The following is a 15925-nucleotide window of genomic DNA, read 5'->3' on the forward strand; positions in this document are numbered from 1 at the left end:
TCAAGAGAGAGGTTGGGGGAGCAGGGCCTCTCCATGCAGAAATCTTACCCATGGTGGGTAGGAACTTCCAAAGGTGAAGGACAGTGGGCTTCTCTTCAGGTTGATGGATTACTTTTTAAAATCATAACATAAGTCAGGCATGGTGGCTCATGCCTGTAGTCCCAGCTACTCAGGAGGCAGAGGCAGGAGGATCACTTGAGCCCAGGAGTTTGAGACCAGCCTGAGCAATATAGCAAGACATGTCTTTAAAATAAAATAAAATAATAACATCAAGTTGTCCCTCGGTATCCTTTGAGGATTAGTCCCAGGACCCCTGCAGATACTGAAGTCCCCAGAATAAAATGGCGCAGTGTCTGCCTAGCACCTGTGCCCACCCTCCCGCACATCTTCCTGCATCCTGCAAACCATTGCTAGATCACTTATCAGACCTAACACAACACAATGCTCTGTCAATAGCTATACTGTATTTTTTATTTGTGTTCTTTTTTATTGCTGTATTGTTCTTTTTTTCATTTTTCTTTTTCAAATATTTTGCATCTGGCTTGGTTGCCTCCAGGGATGTGGAACCCTTGGGTCTGGAGGGACAGCTGGTCTCTCTGTTGGTGAAAATATTCCCTTAACCTGGAGAATACTTTTGCCACTTTTGCTCAGTCTGCTCCTGGATCCGGTCTGTGTCATTTTGCCCGGATCCTGGGCCCGCTCCCAAGGAGGGCTCCCCCAGCTGCAGGGGTGAGGGCCTGTGCTGTGTGGGCGCATGGCTCATCTGCCAGCGACCCATGATTGTTCCCTGGGGCTCTGCCACCCCCAGCTGACTCCTCTACACAGCTCCTGATGCCTTGGGCAGGCCGTGTTGGGGGGGTGTATCCCAGAAAGGCATTGTGTGGGGGGCTGGTATCGCTAGGGGCCTGGGGTCCCCGGTCCCCTCTGTGACTTTCATGAGCAGAATGGAGGTACCCAGTCTCTCCTCATGTCACCACACCCCGCTATCAGGAAGGGACAGGGTCTCAGGTTCCTAGTGTTCCCAGGACCTGCCTGCCGGAGGGCTGCAGCTGAACTGCTGTTAGCGTGGGTGGCTCTGAATCAATGGCCCATTTTTCTGTGCAGTGTGTTGGGGGCAGCCTGAGCCTCTCACTCAGGTTGAACAGGAGCTTGGGGAACCCTCTTCCAGACCCTGAAGGGGTCCTGCTCTGTGTCCTGACCAACACTCATAGGGTCTGCTCTGTGGTCCTGACCTCACTCAGGCCCTGCTCTATAGCAAAGAAGCAAGCTAGACCTTTCTCCTTTGATGTGGAGACGGGAAAAAACAAGTTTTAGAATAACATGCCCAGAATGACCCCAACTAGGAACAATCGACTGTAGGACTGGGAGGATTTGAACATGTGCAAGCAAAAGGAGGCACCAGAGGGCTGTTCAGATGGATAACTGTGCAGGTGGGCATCCGTGCGGGTGGGCATCCATGCAGGTGGACATTCACGCAGGTAGGCCTTTGTACAGGTGGGCATCCGTGCAGGTGGGCATCTGTGCAGGTGGGTATTCGTGCATGTGGACACAGGTGGGCATTCATGCAGGTGGACATCTGTGCAGGCGGACATTTTTGCAGGTGGGCATTTGTGTGGGTGGGCTTCTGTGCAGGTGGGCATTTGTGCCAGTGGACACGGGTGCAGGTGGGCATTTGTGCCAGTGGACATGGGTGCAGGTGGGCTTTCAGGCAAGTGGGTATTCATGCAGGTAGGCATCTGTGCAGGTGGATATCAGTGCAGATGGGCATTTGCATGTGGACATCTGTACAGGTGGACATTGGTACAAGTGGGCACTCATGCAGGTGGGCACTCATGCAGGTGGGCATCTGTGCAGGTGGACATCCATTAGCTGTCACCCTTCTACCCACCATCCACATCCTGAGGATCCAGGGCCTCCTTCCTTGCAATATGTCCCCCACTGTCACCTCAACAGGTAAGGCAGGTCCTTACCACCTGCCTCTGCCTGCCCTCCAGGTCAGCCTCCCAAGGTTGGGCCTTCTTCTTGCCTCAGACTCACTTGCTTTGCAGCAGTGTGGCTATGTTATGGGCCCACATCCGAAATCCACACAGCCCACACCACCTGCAGGACAAGGGCAGCCAGTTAAGCTTGTACAGTCAGTCAGGGCTCACTGCTCCCTCCCTGGCCCTCCCTTGCCCTCTGAGAGGCCCTTTTCTTACCCACCCAGGTGTCCATCCACCTGCCCTGGGGTCCCCTCCCCTCCTGTACCCTTGCAGCTCCCATGAGCCTCAGCCCCCTCCAAGCCCGTCTCCCTAGCAAAACCTTCCCTGAGACTCTAGCCCTTCCCTTTCTGCTGTGATAGGATCTTACCACATCTGCAGAAGATTTAGTGCCTCCCGGCCCTGAGGCCCCGATGAATCACCCAGGCCTGGGTTCTTCCTGCGGACGGAAGACACTGACGGAGGCTGCGGGGCCTGCTTCCCTGAGAACTTGCACGTTGACATCCTCCTCCTTGGTGGCTCCTTCCAAACACAACAAACGTGCAGGCCCAGAAGGACAGGCAGGATGGCGATGTGGGGGCAGGGAGGGCTGAGAGCAGCTGCCCCCAGGGAGGGAGAGGGCCAGAGAGAGTGACCGGAGGGACACAGACATGGACATGTCCCCACCATCGCCGGGGCTGGAAAGGAACAACCCAAAATGTCTCTGGACTTTGTCGAGTATCCCCTGGGGTTTCAAATGGCCTGGGGGTGAGAAGCTCTGGTCCAGGCAAAGTTGTGTCCCTGGACAATGACTGTGTCCAAATCATACCCCCCGCCCGGGGTCTGAGTCATCCAGTCGTGCCACGGTGGTGGCTCTTCTGCATGTGGACCAGAGACACCTGTTTTCCCTGATGCCCAAGACAGTGTTAGCGATGAACAAATGAATGAACAAACGCTGCAGAGGGGAGGCCTCCCTCAGCCTGGGGCTGCTTGCCCACCTTCCCCGTGTGTCCTCCTGCCCCCAGCCCTGGAGGGAGCCCACAGTCTCACTTCGGAAAACCCCTCCAGAAAGCCCGGGACAGAGCAGGTGTGTGGTTCAGCTCGAGGAGGAAACCGGAAGCGGCCATGAACCCACGCCTGGGCAGCCACCTGGAAACGTGGTCAGATGTGACCTCTTCACAGACTCGGGGGTGCTGGGCTCTGAGCAGAAGCGGCCGGGTGGTCCTCCTGGGTGCCTCAGGGGCCCGGGGAGCATGGGTCAGGGCGAGTGGCTGCTCCCTGGCCTCAGGTTATCTGGGTGCCCGGTGAGTGAGGCATGGCAGGCGATACCGGACCCCACCCACCGCGTATACCTCTGGAATAGCGATTGCCATGATTGATGTCAGTAGCCTGGGCTGGGAGCCTGCAGGTGGGTGTGAGGGGGTGGAAGGAGCTGGTGTGAGAGGAAGTAGGGCAAGCGGGGGCTGGGAACTGGTTTGGGAACAACCGCAGCCTGGTCAGCAGGACCCACAGGGCCTGGACAGGGGCTGGAGCTGACCGCTGGCTGACCGGCTTTGCTGCAGCCACGTTCCTGCAGGGGACACAGACCCACCCACATTAGAAAAGTGACCCCTGCACCCCCAGTCAGCCTCCCGGAACGGCTGTCACCACTGTTTCCTGATTCGCTGGTGCATGTCTCCCCCACGGGGCACACATGCGTGGCCTTAGGCCTGAACAGAGCTGCTCACAGCACCCACTTCCCTTTCGGTTTTAAAGCTGCTGTGCCCGGGGGAGGGAAGCCTTCCCCCAATGGGTGTTCTTATTTATTTTCTTAATCACAGGTAATCAGAACTGCGAAGATGATTGGGTCACAGCCAGGAGACTGATTTTGTATCCAGAAGTTTCTGTTTCACAATCACTAAACTACTCATGCTCAAAGATTAGTGTCAACAAGAAATAAACAGACTCTGATACCGATATAAAATGAACGCGCGTTCAAGATTTCCTTCAACTCATTGTTAGCGCAGAAACCGGTAAGATGTGCCAGCCAGGTCAAAGGAGAAGTGACAAAGGCACCTGTGTACGCGGAGTAAAGGGATACAGGTACGCTTCACATACGAGGACTGGCTCTCCCACGGACGGGCGGGCGGTGGGAACTCGTGGGCAGCCGCGGGCAGAGCCCATCTGCATGCTGTCCAGGCAGTCCAGACTGTCCAGGCTGCTGCAACAGAGGACCACAGGCGGGGCCTAGAAACCGCAGATGTTTGTCCTCGCACATTTCTGGAGGCCAGAGTCCAGCATCAAGGCGTCGGCAGGACTGGCTCCTTCTGGGAACTCGGAGAGAATCCGGTCCAGCCTCAGCCCCTTCTGGCACAGCCGGCAGCCCTGGTGTCCCCCGATCAAGGCCGCGGTGCTCCAGTCTCCGACTCCGTCCTCCTGTGGTTTGCCTCTGCGGACCCCAAATCTCCCTCTCGTTCCTTCCACACGGGTGCTAGTGTCGGATTCAGGGTCCATCTGCATAACCCAGGATGACCTCGTCTCAAGAGCCTTAATTTGTCTGGGCACGGTGACTCACGCCTGCAATCCCAGCACTTTGGGAGGCCAAGGCAGGCAGGTTGCCTGAGGTCAGGAGTTTAAGACCAGCCTGGCCAGCATAGTGAAACCCCATCTCTACTAAAAATACAAAAATTAGCTGGGTGTGGTGGTGGGTGCCTGTAATCCCAGCTACTTGGGAGGCTGAGGCAGGAGAATTGCTTGAACCCAGGAGGCAGAGGTTGCAGTGAGCCGAGATCGTGCCACTGCACTCCAGCCTGGGCAACAAGAGTGAGACTCCGCCTAAAAAAAAAAAAAAAACAAAAAACAAAACAAAAAAACAAAAAAAAAGCCTTAATCTAATGACGCATCTACAAACACCCTATTTCCAAATAAGCTCAACCCCATAGGCATGAGGGTCGGGACTTACACATAGCTTTTGGGGGCCACTGTCAACCCACTACACGTGGCTATAAGCAAGAGTTATCTGCATTGCTCTCTGTTATCTGTAATGTACAGATTGGAAAATCGCTCAAAGGCAGCGCGAGGCTAAAATCAGAAAACCCAGAAGGGAGATGGCTCCCACTGCAGGCACCCAGTCCTCCTTCAGGCTCGGCTGCGTGTTCCAGACATGCTCACACTCACTTCTCAGGGTCATTCCAAGGCTCCCAGAATGGCCGCTGTGTTTTTTTGTTTTTTTTTTTTTTGAGACGGAGTCTTGGTCTGTCGCCCAGGCTGGAGTGCAGTGGTGCGGTCTCGGCTCCCTGCAACCTCCACCCCTGCAGGTTTAAGCAATTCTCTGCCTCAGCCTCCGGAGTAGCTGGGATTACAGGCACAGGCCACCACGCCGGCTAATTTTTTTGTATTTTTAGTAGAGACAGGGTTTCACCATCTTGGCCAGGCTGGTCTTGAACTCCTGACCTCATGATCCACCCGCCTTGGCCTCCCAAAGTGCTGGGATTACAGGCGTGAGCCGCCTGGCCCGCTGTATCTTTTTACGCCCACCCGTCCCTGGGGGCTGCAGGCACAGGCCCTGGGGGCCTGGTCAGTGCTGTTTGGGCAGGGGGAATCCTGGACCTGGAAAGGGGAGGGGTCTGGAGCACAGAGGAGCCAGGTGAGGGAGGCCTCCAGGTGCAGGCAGGGTGGAGCCTGGGATGGAGTGATGCAAGAGCCCGCTCCACTCCGCCAGCACCCAACAGCTCTTCCCTTTCTCTCCCAGGCCTCCTGCCTTCCCTCTTCCCTGGTCTTCCCTTCAACACCAAGACTGCAGGCATCACCCCCACCCTAAGAGCCCAAGCAACCACCGACGCCCCATCCCCTTCCCCTCCCCCTATCCCCTCCCCTCTCCCCCTCGGTCCCTTTTTCCCATGGGCGCTGGAGCTTGCAGGGCAGCTGTACCCGTGGCTCCCTCTCCAAATGCTCCCCTAACGCACGCCCTTCTCACTTCCATCGGGCTCTGCTCAGAGAGACCTACCAATGTCCAGCACCCATGGCCGCAATACTGCGTGAGCTGAGACCCCCCTGCAGCCATCCCCATCTGCACCACAGGTACTCAGCAGACAATGGCTGCAGGTGGGCGAGGGCACCCTCACCATCCACCTCAAGTGCAGACCTGCCAGCCTCACGCTCAGCCCTTGGGCCTGGCTGGGGAAGTGTCTAGGGCACAGATCCTGGCACAGGGCAGGCCCCTCCTCCACATTTCACAGATGGCAGATGAATGAGGAGGAGGGGAAGGAGGGGGTGAGCAGCCCATTGCCAAAAGCCCGTGGGAAATAGGGATCCTGGGGGAGATCCTGGCTCACGGAGATCAGAGGGGCGGGGCCACCAAGGAAGGGTGTGGGGGGAAGGCAGCTGCTGCTCATGGAAGGCAGCCGGATGGAGGTAGCGGGGTCAGGCAGAACAGGCCTGAAGAGAGGGGCATAGGGTAGGGACATCAAAGGAAGAGGCAGCGGTTGCCCTGGCCAGGGCCCACAGCAGGTGCGGGCATGGCTCTGGGCTGGCTCACCTGGCCCCCCCGACACCCTCCCTGCAGAGCCCCCGCCCACAGCTGCTCCACAGGGGGTACCAGTGGGTGTCAACCCCTGGCAGCGGGGACACCAGGCCTCTCTGAGCTGATATGGGGGGTGCAGGGGCAGCCCTGGAGTCCCAGCGGGCTGTGCCCTCTGTCCTGGCCTCATCCCTGTGAAACTGCCTTTGCAAAAATTGTAACAGCCATTATTCCGGAGGTCACACAATTTGCAACTTCCCCAATTACTCCTGAGGATGAATCACTATTGTAGACGCTAAGATCGGCCTTTTGAGGTGTCTTTTCAGGTTTTTGCATTTCTGACAATGATGGCTCCACCTGGATTTGGACACACCAACCCCCCTGCCCGCCACAAACGGGTCCTGTGGCCCCACCCAGAAGCAGACTCCCTGGCCTGCCAAACTATCCTTGAAAAACCCGAGCCTGAGAATTTTGGGGGAGATGATTGATTTGAGTAATAACTCCGTCTCTTGGGGGAGATTGATTTGAGTAATAACTCCATCTCCCACGTGGCATGGCCAGCCTGGTGTCTATTAAACTCTTTATAGCAATGCCTTGGGCCCAGTGAAGAGGTTTTGTCTGTGCAGGGGCAGGAAGAGCCCATCAGGCGGTTACACCTGGAGGCCCAGCCCTGAGCCTCCCGCCTTCTCCAGCGTCTGCAGAAGCTGACCCAGAGCCTCTGCTTCGGGATTCCTGGGCTGTGGTCAGGGTGGGTCTGGGGACTCCCGTGCTGCGGGGCTCCTGGTCTGCTCCCCAGAGGCTGTGGGCAGAAGCTGAGACCTCTGAAGAAATCCTAGGGATTTTCAGGAAACCAGTGCATGTTTTCTCTTCTCTAACCATGCACAGGGGACACAGAAAGCCCCAAAGATCGGGGCCACTGCGATTCGTTTTCCAGAGAAGGACGCTCCGAGTTTGCACTCTGACCGCACTGATGGGGCCCTGTTCCTCCGGTGTCCATGGCTCCCAGCAAAGCAGACCAGCACCGCCCCCACGCACACCTAGGCCCAGCCCAGCCCCAACACCGGCTGCCGAGCTCACCATGATGAGGGCTAATGGCTCTGGGCATCGGCCTGCAAGCATTTACTGAGCACCTACTGTATGCTCAGTGCCCACAGGCCGAGAGGCAACGAAGACAAAGTCTCTGTCCTTAGTTCAGGGAAGCCACTCCCAGGCAGGGTTCTAGGAAAGAAAGAGCCCCGGGCTGCATCCGCACTTCTCTGGGCTCCAACAGGATGTGGTTGCATCATCTCCTGGAGGAACGGATTTGCCTTGAAACGCAGGAGGCAGAGCGGGCCTGGGAGAAGGAGGTTGTTTCCACGCCTTCCTGGGGGAGAGGCTGGTGCAGTCGTGAGAGTCAACCGGGAGCTCGGAGGAGGAGCAGACAGGACGTGGGAGAGCTCGGGAGAGACCCAGGCTGGGCGTCTTGCAGCTCAGACCCTTGGCCACCCAAGCAGCGTAGCCGGCATCACAGCCCACGGCGTGAGGCCACCAAGACAGACAGAGGAGGTGAGGGGGACCCGGACTGGGCCAGCCACACGTGGAGGTCGTGGAGGAAGCAGGCATCTATGCGGAATCTCGGCCGCCCAGTCTGCCTTGTCCACAGAGAGGTGCCTGTCCGCTGCTTCGAGCGTGTGCCGACGTCTCCCGAATGTGTCCCCTTTCTCTTCTTCCTTGGGATTTCCTAACGTCTGACGATCCCAGCTTGCGTTGGCCCCCTGTGCTGTGGCCCCACGACGTTTTGTCCAGCTTGATCAGAGCAGAAAGGGGACCTGGTGGGCAGCCCAAGGGGCAGGAAACTTCCGGGTGGATTCCAGCACAGCCCCAGCCCTGCCGGGGTCTTCATGCCAAACCCCTGGTCGGCCAGGCTTGAAGCTGGGCTGTGGAGCCACAGTCCTGGCCTACAGGCAGGTGCTTAAGTCACTCAGGCCACTATGACACAGTTCCACAGCCTGGGCAGCCTACATAACAGACATGTACCTCTCACAGTTCCAGAGGCTGGACGTCCACAGTGAGACACTGTCTCTAAAAAATAAATAAATAAAAAATAAACAAAAGGCCAGGAAAAACGTAAGGTAGTATCAAAAATGTAATGTGTCAATCTCTTTTCATGACAGGCTACAACTGAAAACACCAGTCATATTACCAAGGCTGTGACCGAAATCGTGTCTCTGAGAATGTGCCTCAAGCGTTCCAAGCCTGGCCGGCCGCGCTGGCTCACGCCTATCATCCCAGCACTTTGGGAGGCTGAGGTGGGAAGATCACCTGGTGTCAGGAGTTTGAGACCAGCCTGGCCAACATGGTGAAACCCCATCTCTACTAAAAATACTAAAATTAGCTGGGCGTGGTGACAGCCGCCTGTAATCCCAGCTACCTGGGAGGCTGAGACAGGAGAACCGCTTGAACCCGGGAGGCAGAGGTTGAAGTGAGCCAACATCGCGCCATTGCGCTCCAGCCTGGGCAACAAGATCAAAACTCCATCCCCCCTCCAAATAAAAAGAAAGTTCCCAGCCTTACAGCGAGAGTAAATAAAAACTGTCACCATCTGGCAGGCCCAGGAACCTCAGGGCTATCGGTCAAATCTAAAGCCTGCCTTGGTTTGGCTTCTTAGCCTCAAGAGGCCATTAAATCTGAGATTCCCATCTGATCAACATAGGGAGAAAAGCTTATGTTTCTAAAGAAAAGCTGTAGGCCTGGGTGCAGTGCCTCACGCCTGTAATCCCAACACTTTGGGAGGCTGAGGTAGGAGGATCACTTGAGCCCAGGAGTTCGAGACCAGCCTGGGCAAAATAGAGAGACCCTTATCTCTATACTTTTTGAAAAAGGAAAAGAAAAGCTATAATACATCTGTTAGGAGATTGTAGCTCTGGGCATTGTATTTGAGCTCTTATATCTACCTACAGACTAGACTAGATCCTAAATTCTTCTAGATTCCTTCAGTCAAAATTTCTTCCATGGAATTACTAAAAATAAAAACTGCTCTGTTCCTAAATCCCTATAAACTGAAACTAGATGAATTTTAAGGAACAAGTCTCATATCTGACCTATGGGCCCCACAGGAGTTCACCAAACCATCCAATGCCATAACCACAGACATTTCACCTGCAAACCAGGCAGAGAAGCTGGCGTTTTCACACTGTAGCCAGGGCTTCCAGTTCATCGGGACGAGATTCTGTATCAGAGACGCCCTCCCTCTTACCGTCTACCTGCTCGTGCCACAGGATCATGGTCATTTAGTTCAAGTGGTTCTTCTGCCTCAGCCTCCCGAGTAGCTGGGATTACAGGCACCCGCCACCACGCCTGGCTAATTTTTGTATTTTTAGTAGAGATGGGGTTTCACCATGTTGGCCAGGCTGGTCTCGAACTCCTGATCTCAGGTGATCTGCCTGCCTTGGCCTCCCAAAGTGCTGGGATTACAGGCGTGCGCCACCGCACCCGGCATAAAAATTATTTCTTAATAACTCTTGTATTACTATCACAAAAGACTGAGAAACCACAACGCTGTATGAAGTCCACTGCAACCATGGACAGAAAATACTGTGAGGACATCTGCCCAGCAACTGCGGTCCAACCCTGGACTGGCACCCCCCGCCGCTGATGCTTGTAGACAAGGGGAATCGCCTCAAAACAACGGTGTGATCCTCGTTTTCCCTTTAAAAGCCTTTTTCTCCCTTTACCTCCCTGAACACACACATAGTCTACCACCGCACGTGTGTTCCGACTGCAACGCCCTATTTTTGAATAAATGTCGTTTTCTTTCACAGAGCCTCTCTGTTATCTAAGTTGACAAATGTAATCATAGCACAACAGTGGTCTCTGTTGTAATCCATATTTATTCAATTTCAACGGCATACACACTGTGGAGTAAAAGCCATGACAAGGAGGCAGGGCGTGGGGCTCACGCCTGTAATCGCAGCACTTTGGGAGGCCAAGGTGGGTGGATCACTTGAGGACAGGAGTTCGAGACCAGCCTGGCCAACATGGTGAAACCCCGTCTCTACCAAAAATACAAAAATTAGCTGGGCATGGTGGCGCGCATCTGTAATCCCAGCTACATAGGAGGCTGAGGCAAGGGAATTGCTTGAAGCCAGGAAGCAGAGGGCGCGGCGAGCTGAGACTGTGCCATTGCACTCCAGCATGGGCGACAGAGTGAGACTCCATTTCCAAAAGAAAAATCATGGCCGGGCATGGTGGCTCACACCTGTAATCCCAGCACTTTGGGAGGCTGAGGCAGGCGGATCACGAGGTCAGGAGATCGAGACTATCCTGGCTAACAGGGTGAAACCCCATCTCTACTAAAAATATGAAAAAATTAGCTGGGTGTGGTGGCGGGCGCCTGTAGTCCCAGCTACTCGGGAGGCTGAGGCGGGAGAATGGTGTGAACCCGGGAGGCGGAGCTTGCAGTGAGCCGAGGTTGTGCCACTGCACTCCAGCCTGGGCGACAGAGCGAGACTCCGTCTCAAAAAAAAAAAAAAAGAAAAAAGAAAAAAGAAAAATCATGACATTGAGAGGATTGGGGGAGGAAATGTGGTTGTAAAAGGGTTAAAATGTAACCATGTGTCGCAGGAAGCCAACGCATAAAGTCTAAAATGATAAACCAAGAAGCTGAGCGTGGACCCATTTTCCGTTCTGCTGCAGTGCTCCCTCCCCTCCCCGAGTCCTCGGTGGGCTGGCAGACGGGGCTCTGCCGTGGCCGACTCTTGGGGTCCCTGCAGTAAATCCAAGCGCCTCCAAGGACATCCGAGTGACCAGGGACTGGTGAGTTTTCTTTGAGTTGTAGGGCCGTGGCGGGCTGCCTAGAGGCCCCCGACATGGGCTCATTCTCCCTCCTTCTTCTCCGCCAAGAGAAGAGCCGTGATCCCCAGGAGGAATCCTGTGTGGAGTGTCTGTCTGGAGTTGGATCAGACAGTGATCCAGGGATTTCTTCTTCTTTGAACAGTGATGGCCCAAGGCCAATCCTTTCCTACAGAATCAGCCTTCCCAGTGTTGCCACGGTGGACGGCCTGAATTTATCATACGTGGCTCTTGCTGGTGACATTGCCACGTGTGGGAACTACTGTACATCAGATGCCTGCCCCAGCAGCCTGGCCGGTCTCAGAGCGAGACACGCTGCTCACCAGCCCTCCCGGTACCTCAGGGGCCAGAAGTGGACAATCAGCCCTGCGCCTGGACCGGCCATCCCTGGGCGGCAGGTCAGGACCTCCTCCACCAGGCCCGCATGCCGCTGGGACCATACATGAAGGGAAGGTCCCAGGAGGTGACGCTGTCGGAGCCGATGGCCTTGAGACTGGTGCCGGGCTGCAGAGAGAAACGCGTCCTCGGCAGACCTCGTCAGCGCTGACACAGACGCTTCATCATGGGAGCCTTGGCCACAGCTGTGCCCTAGGTGGTGATTATGAGAAGACCAATTCTAGGAAATTTGAGGAAGGAACAGCAAGTTCTCTTGATTAAACTATGAATGAATTTTAAAAGTCTGTAATCGGACAGTTTTCTTCCTTGGACGTTTCTGTGACTCTGGGAGCTGACTATATGGCTTCAAACCAACCCTGAGCCTCTACCCCAGGACAGAACGCAGGGCTCCCGGGTGAGTGCACCGAGCTGAAGGACCTGAGAGCGGTCCATTGCCAGGTGGCTCCATTAGGGGCATCTCACCTGAGGCTGCCTCCAGGGTAAGGCTCGGCCTCAGGGATGGAGAGTGGTGCTCACACTGGGGGCCCTGGATTCTATGGGCAGCAAAGCCGTGTGTGCTACATGAACAGGCCCGGCCAAGAGGTCCCCACCCACTCTGCATGACCGGGATCAGCTCATCGGTGCTTCAGGGCAGGATGACCCCACCTGCTCCCTGACAGACAGGTCTGGCCGTGGGTGATAAACCTGTGTAGGCTTCCAAGGCCTCAGCAGTGCATGTGTCTTGCTCCTGGAGGGGCCAGAGGAACAGCTGCTCTGTGTCCCTACCAGTAGGATGAGGACCGTCTCGGACAAACGTCCCTCAAGGCCTGTGTCCTCCCACCAGGAAGCCACAGACAAGGCTGAAGCTGGGCCTCCCACAGCCAAAGAGGAGCTGTCCTGGGACTGAAAAGAGGAAGCAAGCCCAGATCTCCACACCTCCCGTCCCGACTCTGGCGTCACTGAGGTGCCTGCCCCCGTGTCACGGCTGTGGGTGTTGTGCTGATGCAATCTCAACAGCAGAGAAGCACGCACATCCTGCAGGCCCACGTGGGCCCCCGACCTGGCAGATGGGGCCCTGGGAGACCAGCCCAGAGTGCCACTAGTGCCCTCCAGCCAGGCTCCAGCCACCCATCTCTTAGAACAGGGCCCTGCTCTCAGCACCAGGGGCATCTTTGTCCTGGGGCCATCCTGTGTGGTTAGGGTATTGAGCCGCACCCTGGCCTCCACCCTCCAGGTGCCCGTGGCACCTCTGCCCCAAGTCATGACAACCAAACATGTCTCCAGACACTGCCAGTGTCCCCTGCGGGGTAAAATTGCCCCTGGTTGAAAACGACCACTTTAGAATTGACGTTTACTAACCCATCACCGTCGAATCTAAGGTTGAAAGGTGTGTGCATAAACACAGGGACCGAAATTCTCAACAAATGCCGTAAGTTGGCAAAATCACAGGTAGTTGAAATTCCTAATTATATCTTTATTACCAGTGGAGAGAAGCTCCCCTAGGAAGTGTCAGATCCCACGGGGATGCCTCACAGTTTCTCATTATTGATCACGATCTACGTAACCAGAGCTCTGTTTTGCATGGGATTTTAGCGCGGTCGGTAGAGTTTTAGACAAGACCGCTTTTGTTAATGGAAATGTTGGTTCTAAAATTTTATCCTGGAAGTTGGATCTTTCTTGCACCTATTTTTGGAAAATCTGCTCTTTTGATTTTTGTGGGTGTGTGAATGTGTATTCTATGAATCTTTTATAAGATGGTGTTGAATGTCCCAGATCATAAATAAGGTGTTTACGCCACTTCTGTGAGTGGATCAGGACCAGACAGCCAGGTTTTATTTCTATTTGGCCACCAAGAGCGCCCATTCCATGAAAGCCAACTCGTGGCTCCTTCTTGACAGAGGCATCTTACAAAAAAAAAAAAAAAATGAAGGACGGCTCAACAATCACTGTTAGACTCGATTAAAAAGAAATATCTAAGAGCAAATCTGCTTGAGGCTCGTGACATTCCTTGGCAGGGCGGGGGCTTCCCAGCTGGAGCCATCCCATTTCTCAGAGGGGGTCTCTGGCTCTCAGACAAACTCAGGATGTGCACAGGCATTGGTCAGGGCCGGGAAGGCCATCACTCAAGACGACGTCTGTCCCAAGAGTACATGCGAGATTTTAATATTTGTTTTACAGGCCATTGTGGTTTACTCTTGTTTCCTAGGAGGAAGCATCAGGAATGGTAACAATTGAACCAAATCATGAACCGTGAAGAACAACACTCTAAGGGAATCTTGTGTTCTGGAAAAAAAAAAAAAAAATGTGCAACTTTGGTTTTCCTGGCTCCATATGGTCAGCAACACTGCCCTTGGTGGGTGCCCATGACCCATGAAGCCCTTCCCAGCTCTCCCAGCTGTGAGCCAGACGCTGGCCCAGTGGGGAGCACTGATGGCTTTGGGAAGGAGGGCCCACCCTGTCCCTGACGTTCAGCGAGCACAGTCCTTGTGACCCGGTGCGTCCTCCTTGTGTTGGGGTCCCCCCACCAGCTCAGCTCAGACTCAGGCTGCAAAGCACCATGCATGGCTTTGGTCTCCTCTTCTGGGAACCCCTGAACCCCAGTGCGGTGGGCTTCTCCTCCCCACCCGGCGCAGATCCCAGCCCAGTCACCCAGACCCCAGCTCTCAGCCTCTTCCTGGAGCAGCTGCCCTGCCCCACGGGAAGCGGCCTGGAGCCCAGATGCACAGCCTGGACCAGTGTGTTGCCTCTGCAACTGCTAGCAGGAACATGATGTCGAAACACCCTCCATGACACGATCCAAATGGCCCTCTTACTCTCTTAAGTAGCAAAATAAATACCAGCATCAAGGTTCTGGATGGAGACCACTTCATTTGCTCACATATTTTTGCAAGCCGTTTATTAGGATACCGCTTAAATAATTACTTCTTGTTTTTATTTGGCTTTTCTTAAACATGGTCTTGTTAGGTGAGGTTTCATAACCACCACACAACTGTCTTTGTTCTCACGCTGCTGGAGCGTGTTTTATGGGCATTGTGATAATAGCTGTAGTTTCCAACGGTTGCAGTAGCTGACTAGTCAGTGGCTTCAGCAACACACATTTATTCTCCTACAGCCCTGGAGGTCAGAAGCTCCGATCCAGGTGTTGGCTGGGTTCCACTCCTCCTGGAGGCGCTAGGGGAGGATCTGTGTCCCTCTTACCATTTCTAGGATCCGCTGCACCCCTTGGCTCAGGCCTCTCTTCCATCTTCAAAGTCAGCAGCCTCTCCTCCCCTCTGACCTTGGCTTCCTCTGCCCGACTCTGACCCCTTGCCTTCCTCTTACAAGGACCCTGTGATGACCTGGCGCCCACCCAGCTAATCCAGGGAGGAGAAGAGAATACTGAGCGTCTTTTCGTTGTAAGCTTTTCAGATTTCTTTGGTTTTTGTTCTTTTAAACTGAGTGACGCATGGATGTATGGATGGACGGATGAATTGAGACAAGATCTTGCTCTGTCATCCCAGCTGGAGTGCGGTGATGTGATCACGGCTTCCTGCAGACTCGACCTGCTGGGCTCAAGTGATCTTCCCATCTCAGCCTCCCGGGTAGTTGAGACCACAGCCCCGTGCCATCACACCATGGCTAATTTTTTATTTTTACTTCTATAGAGATGGGGTCTTGCTATGTTGCCCAGGCTGGTCTGGAACTCCTGGGCTCAAGTCATCCTCTGGCCTTGGCCTCCCAAAGTGCTGGGATTACAGGCATGAGCCAGCACGCCCAGCTTGCCTGTATTTTTAAAACAGATAATGGTGGCTATCAAATCACTGGGGTTTTGAATACATTTAAAAGAGTGACTTCATGGTTATTTCTTACATATTGGTTTTATAATGTATCAGAAGTTATATCCTTTGCAACTACTTAAACTTACGATGAGAAATTTTAGTTGTTAGAGACTGAATGTGCACATGGACAGCGGCCAGCCCAGCTATAAAAATGGAACTCCACCCCACATCTGCAGCACCCAGCCCAGGAGGCCTCCCCCCTGCCCCCATAACCAGCCCGGGAGGTCGCCCTCATCCCTGGTAAGCAGCCCAGAGGCCGCCTGCTGTGTTGAGTCATAGGAAGGGAGACTGTCATCTCCAGAGAGCATCCAGGAAGCTAAACAACAGCTCCTGTTACCATCAGCTCCAAACAGCTGGGACTGGATTAATACATCAAATGACAAATGTAATTCACTCATTAATTAGCTTCCCTAATTTTTGCTCCCACTTTTTTTTTTTTTTTTGAG

The 15925-nt window shown here is 54.5% G+C and overlaps 2 long non-coding RNA genes across 3 annotated transcripts, besides 1 other annotated feature; one reads left to right on the top strand and one right to left on the bottom strand.

Moving 5' to 3' along the window:
- Nucleotides 1–15925: part of a sequence alteration artifact (region identified as an assembly artifact by the Genome Reference Consortium. This region falsely duplicates sequence located at GRCh38 chr21:44095806-44253496) that runs on past both edges of the window.
- Nucleotides 453–7735, bottom strand: LOC124905052 (uncharacterized). The gene is made up of 3 exons (XR_007067918.1): nucleotides 7534–7735; nucleotides 2350–4451; nucleotides 453–2100 (listed from the first exon to the last, which is right to left on the bottom strand). It is a non-coding gene; the product is annotated as an uncharacterized LOC124905052 (long non-coding RNA).
- LOC124900468 (uncharacterized) lies at nucleotides 3279–10253 on the top strand. Of its 2 annotated transcripts, none has more exons than XR_002958636.2 (3): nucleotides 3279–3366; nucleotides 3779–4040; nucleotides 7342–10253. It is a non-coding gene; the product is annotated as an uncharacterized LOC124900468 (long non-coding RNA). The 2 variants fall into 2 exon arrangements; XR_951078.4 differs by having other exon boundaries at nucleotides 8610–10253.

The sequence above is a fragment of the Homo sapiens genome, chromosome 21 (assembly GCF_000001405.40).
Source record: "Homo sapiens chromosome 21, GRCh38.p14 Primary Assembly".
NCBI lineage: Eukaryota > Metazoa > Chordata > Mammalia > Primates > Hominidae > Homo > Homo sapiens.